This window comes from Homo sapiens, chromosome 12, assembly GCF_000001405.40.
Source record: "Homo sapiens chromosome 12, GRCh38.p14 Primary Assembly".
In the NCBI taxonomy this organism is placed as follows: domain Eukaryota; kingdom Metazoa; phylum Chordata; class Mammalia; order Primates; family Hominidae; genus Homo; species Homo sapiens.
This window is the reverse complement of record NC_000012.12, coordinates 132,654,641-132,668,992: the sequence shown is the minus strand read 5'-3', so window position 1 is coordinate 132,668,992 and position 14,352 is coordinate 132,654,641. Positions and strand designations below refer to the sequence as shown.

The window sequence follows — 14,352 nt, the reverse complement described above, 5'->3', positions numbered from 1 at the left end:
CACACGAGGCAAGCTTGGTCACCAGCCTCTACTGAGTTTCGCTTTCTCTGCAGGTGTGTGATGAGATTAAGAGCAAGCTTGCCTCCCTGAAGGACGTTCCCAGCCGCATCGAGTGTCCACTCATCTACCACCTGGACGTGGGGGCCATGTACCCCAACATCATCCTGACCAACCGCCTGCAGGTGAGACTTTACTTCCCGTGTCAGAGTCGGAGCTCTCTCTGCCCAGCCCTAAGTGCTTTCTCACCCCTCCCAGCCCTCTGCCATGGTGGACGAAGCCACCTGTGCTGCCTGTGACTTCAATAAGCCTGGAGCAAACTGCCAGCGGAAGATGGCCTGGCAGTGGAGGGGCGAGTTCAGTGAGTGTCGGCCGCCTGGGTGGGCACTCGGTGGGAAACGGGTGGGTGAGTGTCGGCCGCCTTTCTCCACTTGGTGGGAAGCCGGTGTGTCTGTGCCTCCTTTTGAACTTGCCCCCATTGCCTCCTTCCCAGTGCCAGCCAGTCGCAGCGAATACCATCGGATCCAGCACCAGCTGGAGTCAGAGAAGTTCCCCCCCTTGTTCCCAGAGGGGCCAGCTCGGGCCTTTCATGAACTGTCCCGCGAGGAACAGGCGAAATACGAGAAGAGAAGGCTGGCGGGTGAGTGCCTGGGCATGGTCACGGCTGTAAAGATGTGGCTCCTGCTCCCACTTTCTGTTCTTACTGGGCTGCGTTGGTCCATCCCAGCTGGGGCCCCAGAGGTGTTGTCACAGCAGACCAGAAGCTGCTCTAGGTCACTGTAAGCTGTGCTCTCACTGCAGGGTCCTTTATTTGCTTCCCCATCTGCAAGTGTTAGACACTGCTGCTCTGTGGTCTTGGGGTATTTGGCCTGTTCCTACCCCTGGGCTGTCCTATTTCTTTCTTTTTTTTTTTGAAATGAGGTCTCACTCTGTCACCCAGGCTGGAATGCAGTGGTGTGATCTTGGCTCACTGCAGCCTCAACCTCCCAGGCACCGGCAATCCTCCCATCTCAGCCTCCTAAGTAGCTGGGACTACAGGTGTGCGCCACCATGCCTAGCTAATTTTTTGTATTTTTTGTAGAGATGGGGTCTTGCCATGTTGCCTAGGCTGGTCTCAAACTCCTGGGCTCAAGTGATCCGCCTGCCTCGGCCTCCCAAAGTGCTGGGATTACAGGTGTGAGCCACCGTGCCCGCCCACCTTTTTCGGTATGAGAAACTAGCAGTGTATCTGAGCTGTTGCTCCTTTGTGGTGACGTAGAAGCCATGTTCTTCAGCACCCCTGTGCCCTGGCTCCCTCTGCTCTGGGAGATCTCACCCACCTGCTCTGCCCATCTCCGTCGTGCTTAGATTACTGCCGGAAAGCCTACAAGAAGATCCACATCACCAAGGTGGAAGAGCGTCTCACCACCATCTGCCAGCGGGAAAACTCCTTCTACGTGGACACCGTGCGTGCCTTCCGGGACAGGCGTTACGAGTTCAAAGGGCTCCACAAGGTGAGCTCTGAGGGGCTGCAAGCTTTGGCCTCTGTGAGGGCAGTTTCAGTCGGCTCATGAAGTGGGCACTCTTGGCTCCTTGCCTGGGATCCTCTGAGCAGGCACTTGCACTCGGATGGTAACGTGCAATTGTTTTTGACTTGGAAGAGTTGATGGCCACGAAGGATGCAGACCATCATCCACCCTGGTCTGAGGCCTCAGAAGGACCCTAAAGGATGATTTCTAAAGTGATTATTTAGAGCAGGGGTCAGCAAGCTACAGCTGGCTGGCCGTTTGAGTACATCAAGTTTTACGAACCCAACTGCCTTCGCCTATTGTTTATCTCTTTCCCGCTGTCATGGGAGGTGAGGAGTTCCTAGAAACTCTAAGGCCTTCTCATCTATGGTATTCACCATCCGGCCCCTCGTGTTTAACTGACGTATTTCATCCGGTAGGAACATGGAAAATGCATAGCAACACCTCTGTTTTGATACCAACGGGTCATTATTTTATATCTGATCAGATTGAGCCATTTTTTTTCTGAGAGACCTTCACTGTAGACTCAGCACGGCCCCTGCTGTGCGGCCCCCTGGCATCCTGCACTGCCCTGCTGAACTCATCGTCACATGTTCTTTTTTATAATGGTAAGGCGGACATAATATGACATTTAGTGTTTTTAAGTGCTCAGTTCAGGGGCATGAAGCATATTCGCACTGTTGTGCAACTATCACCACCATCTACCTCCAGAATTCTTCGCCTTCTGAAACGGAAACTCTTATCTCCATCAAACAGTAGCTCCCCACCTCCTCCCTGGCCCCTAGTGACCCCATTCCACTTTCTCTCTCTGAATTCCACGACTCTAGGGATGTCATGTAAGTGAACCGTGCAGTATTTGTATCTTTGTGACCGGCTTTTTCACTTAGCATGATGCTTTCTTTTTTGGAGACGGGGTCTCACTCTGTCACCAAGGTTGGAGCACAGTGGTGTGACCTTGGCTCACTGCAGCCTCCACCTCCCAGGCTCAAGTGATCCTCCCGCCTCAGCCTCCCCAGTTCCTGGGACCACAGGCGTACCATCACGCCTGATCGTTGTATGTTTGGTAGAGACGGGGTTTCACCATGTTGCCCAGGCTGGTCTCAAAGTCCTGAACTCAGGTCATCTATCCACCCCAGCCTCCCACAGGGCTGGGATTACAGGCGTGAGCCACCGCGCCCAGTCTTAGTATGATGTTTTCAAGGTTTATCAACATACAGCGTGTATCTGTACTGTATTTTTGTAAATGGCTGAATAATATTTCATTGTGTGGATTTGTCACATTTTGTCTATCCTTCATACACCGACGTGCACTTGGGTTGCTTCCACCTTTTGGCTGTCGCGAGCAATCCTGGTTTCAACATGGGCTGCAAGTGCGTCTTCAGGTCTCTGCTTTTGGTGATTTTGGATATGTACCCAGCAGTAGAGTTGTTGGGTCATATGCTAATTCTACATTTACCTTTTAAGGAGCTGCCTTACTATCTCACTTTATTTTAATTAAGCAACTGCTAAATTACTTGTTCATCTGTCTCCCTCATCAAATAAGCACCAAAAGTGTAGTGACTGTCTCGTGCTTCAGAGTACAATGGAGTTCCTGGCACATACTAGGCACTCAGTAATTATCTTAAGGAATTTGCTTTTGTTCCTTAAATACCCAGCCTTTAAAAACCTTTTCTCATGTTGGGTGGGGAATTTGATGAGACATCTGTGGTCTTAGCTGCATTTCTTGATTGATTTTACCAGGCACCCCCGAGTAGCTCTTGTTCCCTAGAAACTGTGCTGAAGCGTTTAGGATGTCAGACCGTGAAATCTACAATGTTCAAATGATTCTGTCAACACAGAGAGACAGAATAAAGGAAGTGTGACAAAATATTGACAGTTGGCCAGTCTAGGAGAAGAATGTACACTCTTCATTGTACTGGTTTTTTAGGTTTTCTATAGATTTGAAAATTTTCAAAATACTAAAAACCTGGGCTATTGACTTTGTAGAATGTGAAATGGAAGAATCTGTGAGGTGCTCCATGTTCATGTGCTTCTCAGGTGTGGAAAAAGAAGCTCTCGGCGGCCGTGGAGGTGGGCGACGCGGCTGAGGTGAAGCGCTGCAAGAACATGGAGGTGCTGTATGACTCGCTGCAGCTGGCCCACAAGTGCATCCTGAACTCCTTCTATGGCTATGTCATGCGCAAGGGGTAGGTGGGCCCGGGCCCGGGAGAGGCTTATGGGAGGAATGGATGAGTCCACGTTTAGGGCAGCTTCAGGTGTAGGCTGCTGTGCATGGAGGGCCGTTCATCTGATTCAAGGAATGTTGGAGGGAGAAGGCTTTGGGCTGGGGTGGGGCTGGGAGGTTGAAGAGAGTGGGGGCCACGCTGACTTTGAGGGTCTGGGTGTCCATGAGTGATGCGTGCTGTGGGGTGTATGTGTCTCTGCATCATGGGCTGGAGACACGACTTGCCATTTTCCAGCGCGTTCATGTCTCCCAGCGTGGATCCTCACTCAGGGACTTGCAGAGTGTCGGGCAGTTGCTTCACAGCATGTCTGCGTGTCCGGGAGGGGCAGAGAAGCAACTGACAAGGGGCATGGGGCTGGTGCCGGGAGGGGAGGGTGGGACAGCTGACAGCAGGGCTGGGACCCAGGCTGGAGGAGGGTTGGGCCTGGCAGCTAGGCCTGGGCTTTCTCTGAGAAGCTGGAGGTGAGAATGGGGCTTGGGAGGAGGTGTGAAGAGAGTAGAGAAGGCGTGAATGGGTCTGGGTGGTATTAAGAGTCCTGCTGAGGCTGGAGTCCTGAACGGCTGGACGCAGTGGCACATACTGCACCCTTCCAGATCCTTCCTGGGCACCAAGGTGGGGACAGAGAGGTGTCCTCGGGCAGAGCCAGATTCCACCTTAGTTCTGTCCTGGTGCACGCACATTTGGCTGCTTCCCTTGTCCCTGTCGCATCTCTCCTTTCCTCCTCCCTACTCCTCACTGCCTCTGATACCCCCTGGAGGAGCCATGCCAGCCCCACCCACCAGTTTGTGGTGTCCTCTCAGGGCTCGCTGGTACTCCATGGAGATGGCTGGCATCGTCTGCTTCACAGGGGCCAACATCATCACCCAGGCACGGGAGCTGATCGAGCAGATTGGGTGAGTGCAGAAGGGGAGCCGTGGGGCTGGGAGCAGGTCCTGGGGGCAAGCATGGGCAGGAAGGAAGGAGGGAAGGCTGGAGGCCACACACTGGGCAGGAAGGAAGGAGGGAAGGCTGGAGGCCACACACTGGGCAGGAAGGAAGGAGGGAAGGCTGGAGGCCACACACTGGGTGAAAAGGAAAGGGGAACTCACGACCTTGCTCCTCTCTTTCTCTGAAGGAGGCCCTTAGAGCTGGACACAGATGGTATATGGTGCGTCCTGCCCAACAGCTTCCCAGAAAATTTTGTCTTCAAGACGACCAATGTGAAGAAGCCCAAAGTGACCATCTCCTACCCAGGCGCCATGTTGAACATCATGGTCAAGGTGAGTCTGGGGCCTCTGGTCCTGAAGCTCTGGCTGGCCTGGCGTCAGTGCCCTGATGTCACTGGCTCTGCAGCACCTCACAGTGTGCATGCCTTCCTGGCACCCAGCACTGCTCACATTGCTTTTCTATAGCCTGAAGACCATGGTCAGAGGTATCAAGTGATTCCACTCCTTTCTCTTTCAGCATAGCTCCCAGAATTTTTTGCTTTTAACTTTTTATTTTGAAATAATTTTAAACTTACAGGAAATTACAAAAATAGTACAGAGAATTTCTGTATCCCCTTCAACCTGCCTTCCCCTAATGCTGACCTCGCATAAACCATGGTGCGCTTGTCAAAACTAAGAAACCTATGTCTGTGCCCCAGTAACTGCACTGCAGGCCTCACCTGGATTTCCCATTTCCCACCATAGCCCCTCTTCTCTCCCAGGATCCCAGCAAGGACCCACGTGGCGCCGAGTTGTCCTGTCCCGGTCTGTCCTCGTGTCACGACCTCCCCCTCTGGTGGTGCCGGCCAGGCGATGGTTGGCTGTCCCTTGATCAGGGGTTGTCTGTTGTTTCTCGTGACTAGACTGAGGTGATTTGGGTTTTTGGAGGAGCTCCACAGGTGCGACACCCTCCCCACGTTCTCACACGCATCGTGTTGGTTTGTGGTGGTGTGGGAGTGTGGGTGTGTTGTGGGGACGGCTTAGTCTCCTGCCTGAGGGGCTTCTGCAGGCCTTACTGTGGCGCTCCTGTGCCCCCTCCCATACGGCTCTTCAGTCGTAAATACACACCCAGTGGGGAGGATATAAGCGTCCCTGGAGGAGGGCTGTCAGAGTTTCTGGACCTGTATTAGAGCCATCACAGCAGCAAATAGATATCGTGGAGCAGGTGCTTCGAGACAGTGTATCCACAGCTGCTCCATAAGCTTCTGCCCACTGTGTTAGCGTTGCTGATGGGCTGTGTTTGCTGGTGGGCCGCACCTGCAGCAGTTACGCCTGAGGTTTCCTGTCGTGGTTTTTCTCTGGCGATTGTCTGTTTCCTTCATTCCTTCTACTGTATCAATTGGGATCCTGTAGGGAAGCGTTGCTATCCTTCTCTTCCATTTGTTCTCGTTTATTTGTCTGCTTATTGACATCAGTGTGGATTTGCGGATCAGAGTGGACATCCCAGGGTTATTGTTCATAGGACCGGAGTGGCTTCCTGCTCCACGTGTTCCCCTTGGGCCACTGGGGCCTCCTAGTTTGTGGCGTGTTCTTGGGACACGCCCTCTTCTGGTCTTTGTTTCTGGAGCACTTTCCTACTTCTTGGTACTGTAAGGTCCACCAGCCTCATCTTGTATTTTCCCTGCTCCAACCTGGAGTCAGCCAGTTCTCCGAGAAGAATGATGTAAAAACCCGAGATGGGGTGCTTGCTGTGCTCACTGTTCCTGGGAGTGTCATAGCTTCCAGTCTCTCATAGTGGAGGCAGCCAGGAAGTATGTCTCTAGTAACGCACGCACACAGAACTGTTTATTTCTGTGTCTGTCTGTCTGCATGGATGCATTTAAACACATGAGTCTGCCCCTTTCTTATTAGTGACTTCTTTCTCCTTCAGTGATAAACCTGTTTCGAATTTCTCAATATATGTGTTTGTTCAATCCTAGAGTCCATGTAAAGTAGTTTTAGAATTGCTAACAGACTTGTGTCCCATGAGAAATAATTTCACCAGCCACTGTACAGCATTTGTAGATAGTTACTTTTGTTTTCAGCCTTACCCTGTCCAGTCAGCAGAGTTCACGGGCAGCTCCTTCCTCCCCACCCTGTTGGCATGTTCTGCTGTATGTCCACAGTGCTGTTGGGCTCATTTGGCCCAGTCTGCACCCCTCTTGGGATCCCAGCACCATGGCTGGATGGCTTGTAATTTGCACACAGTGACGTTCACTCTGTAGCGTACAGCCCTGTGGGTTTGGACAAGTGCATAGTGTGTGTGTCCAGCACCACGAAGCAACACAAAACAGCTGCAACCCCTTTGTCAGCAAATCCTCTCCCTACCCCGAAACCCTGGCAACCCACAATGTGTTTTTTGTACTATAATTTTGCTTTGTCGAAAATGTCATGTAAAGGGAAGCATACGGCCTGTAGCATTTTGGGTCTGGCTTCTTGGACCTAACAGATACACCTGAGTTTCACCACTTGGTTGCATGCATCAGAACTTCCTTCCTTCCTGCTGCCAAGTCGTGTTAGTTATGTGGAAAAGCCTCGGTTTGTCAATCCATCCACTCCTGGAGGGACACCAGGTGGTTTCCAGGTTTGGGCCATCATGAGTGAAGCTGCCCCCTCTTCACTCTTGTTTCTCAGGAAGGCTTCACCAATGACCAGTACCAGGAGCTGGCTGAGCCGTCCTCACTCACCTACGTCACCCGCTCAGAGAACAGCATCTTTTTTGAGGTTGATGGGCCCTACCTTGCCATGATTCTTCCAGCCTCCAAGGAAGAAGGCAAGAAATTGAAGAAGAGGTGGGACTCTCATAGCTTTTGTGCTTTAGAAAGGACATGGATTGAGATAGATTAAATTTAGCCCAGAAAGGAGGTTGGATCAGGAGCCAGGATAGAAACAGACCTGGGTTCTTGTGATCTTACTGATTCCGTTTGCACCAGCTCTGTCTGCCCGCCTGCTGTATTCTGGCTCTGTGGCTGCAGGCCCTTCAGCCATTTTCCTTTTAGAGAAGCAGTGGCCTAAGGGAGAGAGACGTTTGCTGCCTCGTGGATGACAGGTGGAGGGTTGGAAAGGGAAGAGGCGGGCAGAGAGGATGAGGCACAGCTGGTGGCTCCCCAGCGCTCCTTGCCACTGCTGTGCTTGCCTTTTTTTTTTTTTTCAGGTATGCTGTGTTCAATGAAGACGGTTCTCTGGCTGAGCTCAAGGGCTTTGAGGTCAAACGCCGCGGGGAACTGCAGCTGATTAAGATCTTCCAATCCTCGGTGTTTGAGGCCTTCCTCAAGGGCAGCACGCTGGAAGAGGTGTATGGCTCTGTAGCCAAGGTGGCTGACTACTGGCTGGACGTGCTGTACAGCAAGGTAAAGGCCTACCCTCCACCCTCACCTGCTCTGAGGGATGAAGGATGAAGCAAGAAGGGGACCCCGTGCTTCCTGGGCTCCTGGAGACCAAGGTGACCGAAGAACACAGGGCCAGTCCTAATGAAATCCCAAGACCTCCTGAGCACAATTACCCCCTTGGAGTTCCCCTCAACTTCTGCATCCAGGGACACAACTCTGAGGGAAACGTTTTTCTAAATAGCGTGATAAGCCTGGCATGGTGATGCGTGCCTGTGGTCCCAGCTACTTGGGAGGATCACTTGAGACCAGGAAGTAGAGGCCACAGTGAGCCGTGACTGCACCACTGCACTCCAGCCTGGGATATTTGTTTATTTCTATGTTACTTTGTATTTTTTATATTTTTCAGGCTACATAACATTTTGACAGTTTACATACCTTAATTTACGTAACTAGCCCACGATTATTTACTACCAGATAGGTTTCACATTTCCATTGTTATCAATGGTGTTGCATTGAACGAGATATCTCGGTGCATATGTTTCCCAGGCACAGGCGTCTTGGGTAGAAGGAATACTGGAACACTCTGCAGTGCTTTCCTGGCTTGCTTTGCTGTGTGGGCTTCTGTTTCTTGGCATATTGTCTTGTATAGAGTGAAACACACGAGCAAGGGAGCACCAGGGTATCACACAGAATATTCATGAGCCCAGCACTCCTTACAGGATGTGGGGGGCCTGTGGTCAGGAACATGTGTGCAAAGCACAGCTCCAGCTGGATGTGGGTGCCACACTGGAACTGCTCAGGCCTCCACTGCTCAGGCCACTCTCCAGCCGGCCGGAGTTTCTCTTTCCTCTCTTCTGGCTCTTCCTGCCCCTTCTTTCTCTTCCTTTCAAGGAGAAAAACTTCCTGTCTTAGGCCGAGCAACATCCTTTTCTGCAGCCTTGGTGCTCTTCAGTAAATTCTTCTTGATATTTTGTGCACAGTTTAATAAAATAAAAGCCAAGCCAGGCGTGGTGGCTCACGCCTGTAATCCCAGCACTTGGGAGGCCTCGGCGGGCAGACCACTTGAGGTCAGGAGTTGGAAACCAGCCTGGCCAACATGGCAAAACCCTTTCTCTACTAAAAATACAAAAATTAGCTGGATGTGATGGCATGTGCCTGTAATCTCAGCTACTTGGGAGGCTGAGGCACGAGAATCTCTTGAACCCAGGAGGGGAGGTTTTAGTGAGTTGAGATTGCACCACTGCACTCCAGCCTGGGTGACAGAATGAGACTCTGTCTCAAAAAAAATATAAAAGCTAAAGTTTTGTGTGTGTGTGTATGTTTTAAAGTATTGCCACACAGGCATATTAGAGAGCTCTTGAAATTGCAGCCTTCTGCGTCTCAGGCTAGAGAAGGGCATGGCCTAGAGGAGCACAGTCCAGGGTGAGCTCAGACTCTGCCCCTTGATTTCTGCAGTGTTTTACCCATTGTCTTTCTCTAGGCAGCCAACATGCCTGACTCTGAGCTATTCGAGCTCATCTCTGAGAACCGTTCCATGTCTCGGAAGCTGGAAGATTACGGGGAGCAGAAGTCTACGTCCATCAGCACAGCAAAGCGCCTGGCCGAGTTCCTGGGAGACCAGATGGTCAAGGATGCAGGGCTGAGTTGCCGCTACATCATCTCCCGCAAGCCCGAGGGCTCCCCTGTCACGGAGAGGTGAGGGCTCCCCCCATCACGGAGAGGTGAGGGCTCCTCCCATCACGGACAGGTGAGGGCTCCCTCCGTCACGGAGAGGTGAGGGCTCCCCTCATCACAGAGAGGTGAGGGCTGCCCTGTCACGGAGAGGTAAGGGGTTCCTTACAGATTTGGGCTGTGTTTAACACCAAGTTTGGGGATGGCATAAGTGTCCATCAACCAGAAATGGATAATTGCCATTTTGTAGGGAATGAGATACACTATACCAGAGTTCAAAGGGTTGAATTGCAGCTACAGGTTACAACACTGACAGTTTGAAACCACTTTGGAGAAAAAAGCAAAAATCAGGTTGAAGGAAGACCCTTATGCCTCCGTGTATGTAAAACTTAAAAACATGGAAACTGCTCTTTTTTTTTTTTTTTTTTTTTTTTTTTGGTGGTTATATACAAATAGGACCAGTACAAATGCCTGCATGGGGTTGATGAACACCAGAATAAGGGTTGTCTTTACTTCTGTGTGAGGAGGGAATAGGTTGGGGTCACACAGGGCTTCACTCTAATCGTCTCACAAAGGAAGTCAGAGTGGCCAAGTGTTGAAGCTTGATGGAGCCGAGTGGATCATAGTGTGCGTGTCTTCTTTAGGTCTCCTTATGTTTGCAGTATTCACCACAGATGTTTCCTCCAGTGAAAGGGAAGCACTGACGGTTGCCAGTTGCTTTGCTAGTGACATGAAAACAGGCTCGTTTTTTCTAGAAAGCAGCCTGAGTCTTCTGTGTGTTACTCAGCAAGGAACATGTAGACATGGTTATGAACGTGCACGTTTGCCTGTATGCATGCACGTGGTTACTCAGAAACGCAGACATGTTTACGCACACACGCATGTCTTTGCCTATACGCATGCGCGTGGTTACTCAGAAACGTAGACATGTTTACGCACGCATGCGTTTATGTATGTGCATGCACATGGTTATGCCGTGAGAAACATGTAGACATAGTTACGAACATGCACGTGTTTGCCTGTACGCATGCACGTGGTTACTCAATGAGAAACGCAGACATGTCTACGCACACGCATGTGTTTATGTATATGCATGCCCATGGTTACGCTGTGAGGAACATGTAGACATGTTTACGTGCACACACGCACGTGTTTACACATACGCACGTGTTACTCCCCGAGGAACCTGTAGGCATGTTTGTGCATACATATGCACGCAGATGTATACATTGATGTTTGTGAACAGCTGTTACACGTCCTTATTTCCATGTTCATTTGATAAGAGTTAGGATCAGATTTTGGGTGATTTTCACTGTTACTGAGCTGTGTGCCTGTCTTCCTTACCCAGGGCCATCCCACTTGCCATTTTCCAAGCAGAGCCCACGGTGAGGAAGCACTTTCTCCGGAAATGGCTCAAGAGCTCTTCCCTTCAAGACTTTGATATTCGAGCAGTGAGTGCCAGTTGCGTTCTCTACTCTTAAAAGTTTACAAGGAAAGCTAGACAGAGCAGAATATGTCTGAGTTGGATTATGTTTTTTGTCTGGCGTCTTCACTCTTGACTTCCTCCTTTCTGATAAGTAATAGGTGAGCACCTAATAACCTTTTAGGGCAAAACTGAAAACATGAAGTGCCTGGGGCCCTTTAGCTGTTCTATTGGATGGACTAAGGCCAGGGGTGTTGGCTCAGCCACCTACTAGCTCTGTGATCTAGAGGAGTCAGTGAAGCTCCCTGCCTTGGTGTCCTCTGTTGTGCAATGGGCACCTTTCATCATAGAGTTTCTGAGAGGATTAAATAAGACACAGTGGTTAGCCCTGTGCTCAGCATGAAGTGAGCCCCACTCTTGGCTGCTGCCACCTGCTGTTCTCTGTGCCCGTTTCCTGCACATGCAGATTCTGGATTGGGACTACTACATTGAGCGGCTGGGAAGCGCCATCCAGAAGATCATCACCATCCCTGCGGCCCTGCAGCAGGTAAGGGCGGGGTCAGTGGCACGGGCTGTGGGGCTAAAAACTGTGCAGTTAGACAAGGGTCTCTCTCTGATGGGTGTTGGCCTCACACAGGTAAAGAACCCAGTGCCACGTGTCAAACACCCCGACTGGCTGCACAAAAAACTGCTGGAGAAGAATGATGTCTACAAGCAGAAGAAGATCAGTGAGCTCTTCACCCTGGAGGGCAGGAGACAGGTGACGGTGGGGCCCCAAGGCTGGGCTGGGCGGGATCCTTGTGACACACAGGACTCCAGGCTTCTTGCGCTGCTGTGTGTGCTGTAGTGAAGCTTCTGTTCAAGCATCGAAAATGGACTTTTTCTGAAAATGTGCCCATTGGCACTTTACTCTCTAACTCTGAGTGTCACTCTTTTGTTAATAGGACACCATTGTGAGGCTGAGGTGAGGGCAAGGAACTGTCTCCTTATGTGAAAATATTAGGGTGCACTACTTAGACTCAGTGCCTTGGGCAAATCACTGTCTCTTGAAGCCCCAGTTTTCTGAATGTGAAATGAATATCTTCCCTATGGAAACACTTAGAAACACAGGACACAGTGTAATAAAAGGTACAGTGAAAGTCAGAAGAGCAAAAGGAAAATTCTTAAATGCTGAAAATTAAAAGTAAGCTATAAATCAGAGCAGTATACAAACTCACATGACAAGAACAAGGTTCTTTGACCAGGTGCGGTGGCTCACACCTGTAATCCCAGCACTTTGGGAGGCCTAGGTGGGCAGACCACAAGGTCAGGAGATGGAGACAATCCTGGCTAACACAGTGAAACCCCATCTCTACTAAAAATACAAAAAATTAGCCAGGCGTAGTGGTGGGCGCCTGTAGTCCTAGCTACTCGGGAGGCTGAGGCAGGAGAACAGCGTGAACCCGGGAGGCGGAGCTTGCAGTGAGCCGAGATCACGCCACTGCACTCCCCTGGGCGACAGAGCGAGACTCCGTCTCAAAAAAAAAAAAAGAAAAAGGTTCTGAGATGGATTGGATTTTAAAATTTAACTGTCTTATTTGTAAGAGTTATATATGTATTCTTTCCCCTGCCCCCCAAGACGGAGTCTTGCTCTATTGCCCAGGCAGGAGTGCAGTGGCACAATGCAGCTTCTGCCTCCTGGGTTTGGCTCACTGCAGCTTCTGCCTCCTGGGTTTAAGCAGTTCTCCTGCCTCAGCCTCTAGTGTAGCTGGGATTATAGGCACACACCACCATGCCTAGCTAATTTTTATTTTTTTAATTTTTTTCTGCCTCAGCCTCTAGTGTAGCTGGGATTATAGGCACGCACCACCATGCCTAGCTAATTTTTATTTTTTTAATTTTTTTTTTAAATTTTTAGTAGAGACGGGGTTTCACCATGTTGGCCAGGCTGGTCTCAAACTCCTGACCTCAGGTGAATGCACCCGCCTTGGCCTCGCAAAGTGCTGGAAATACAGCACTGCGCCCAGTGGCTTATGGGCCAGTATAACAATTTCAAGAGTTATATTGAAAAGATAGGACGCAGGAAAAGCAAAAGGAGTAAAAAATACGTATACCAGGTAAATGTTAACCAAAAGAAAGCTGATGTGGCTGTATTAATACCAGACAAAATACTCTTTAGGCCAAAAGTATTAGGAAACATAAGGACTATTGTTACATAATACTGAAAGTCACAATTCTCTGGAAATATATACTAATTGTAACAATGTAGCCTCACATTAAATAATGTAAACATTTACCTAATTATAAGAAGAATTTACCTCCAATCAGTTTGGGAGATGTTAACATCCCTCCCTCAATTGATAGTTGGAGCAGACCAAAAATCAGCAAAAATATGTTTGGAATGACACAATCAACTAACTAGATTTAGTCACTAGCTATAATACATTTAGTGAACAAATGTAGTCTTGCACTAAAATTAGAGAATACCTATCCTTTTCAAGAATACATAAAATAATGACCATATATATACCACAGAGTAAGCTGCAACCAATTCTAGATAACTTAAATACAGACCATGTTTGGAAATTTAAGAAAAAAAAAACACATTTATAACTTGTGGATCAAAAAAGTCATAGAACTTAGACAATACTTGGAACTGAATGTAAATACAAATGCTATTAAAATTTGTAGTATGCAGTTAAACAGGACTTGTATACGCATTTATATATCTAAATGCATGTATTAGTAAAGAAAAACAAATAGAAAATTAAGTTTCCAACTGAAAAAGTTAGAGAACAACAGATCCATCAGAGGAAGTAGACAGAAGTTATAAAGAGTTATAAAGGTAACCAGGCATGGTGGTGCACACCTATAGTCCTAGCTACTCGGAAGGCTGAGAGGCAGGAGGATTGCTTGAGCCCAGGAATTTGAGGTTGTAGTGGGCTATGATGGCACCTGTGAATAGGCACTTCACCCCAGCCTGGGCAACACAGGGAGAACCCAACTCAAGAAAGAAAAGAAAGAGGTTACAAAATTGAGCCAGAATGAGTGAAACAAACAATACAACCAAAATGTTGTTCTTTGAAAAGACTTAGGAAAATAGTCACATCTTTTTCTTTTCTTTTGAGACAGGGTCTCATTGTGTCACCCAGGCTGGAGTACAGTGGCGCAGTCATGGCTCACTGCAGCCTTGACCTCCCAGGCTCAATTGATCCACCTGCCTCAGCCTCCTGCATAGCTGGGACTATAGGCGCACACCACCACATCCAGCTAATT

The 14,352-nt window shown here is 49.4% G+C and overlaps 1 protein-coding gene across 7 annotated transcripts in view; it reads left to right on the top strand.

Moving 5' to 3' along the window:
* POLE (DNA polymerase epsilon, catalytic subunit) overlaps window positions 1-14,352 on the top strand; it is a 63,581-nt gene that overhangs the window by 18,350 nt on the left and 30,879 nt on the right. For 6 of the 7 annotated variants that reach the window (XR_941395.3, NM_006231.4, XM_011534795.4 and 3 more), the window contains 13 exons: window positions 54-182; window positions 256-358; window positions 491-637; window positions 1,345-1,490; window positions 3,543-3,691; window positions 4,531-4,623; window positions 4,845-4,989; window positions 7,309-7,466; window positions 7,829-8,024; window positions 9,484-9,698; window positions 11,023-11,125; window positions 11,564-11,644; window positions 11,735-11,857. Coding sequence is in view for 6 of the 7 variants with exons in the window: in NM_006231.4 (NP_006222.2) it covers window positions 54-182; window positions 256-358; window positions 491-637; window positions 1,345-1,490; window positions 3,543-3,691; window positions 4,531-4,623; window positions 4,845-4,989; window positions 7,309-7,466; window positions 7,829-8,024; window positions 9,484-9,698; window positions 11,023-11,125; window positions 11,564-11,644; window positions 11,735-11,857 (1,788 nt within the window). In the remaining variant the exon portion in view is untranslated. The other variant, XM_011534802.4, reaches the window with a different exon arrangement.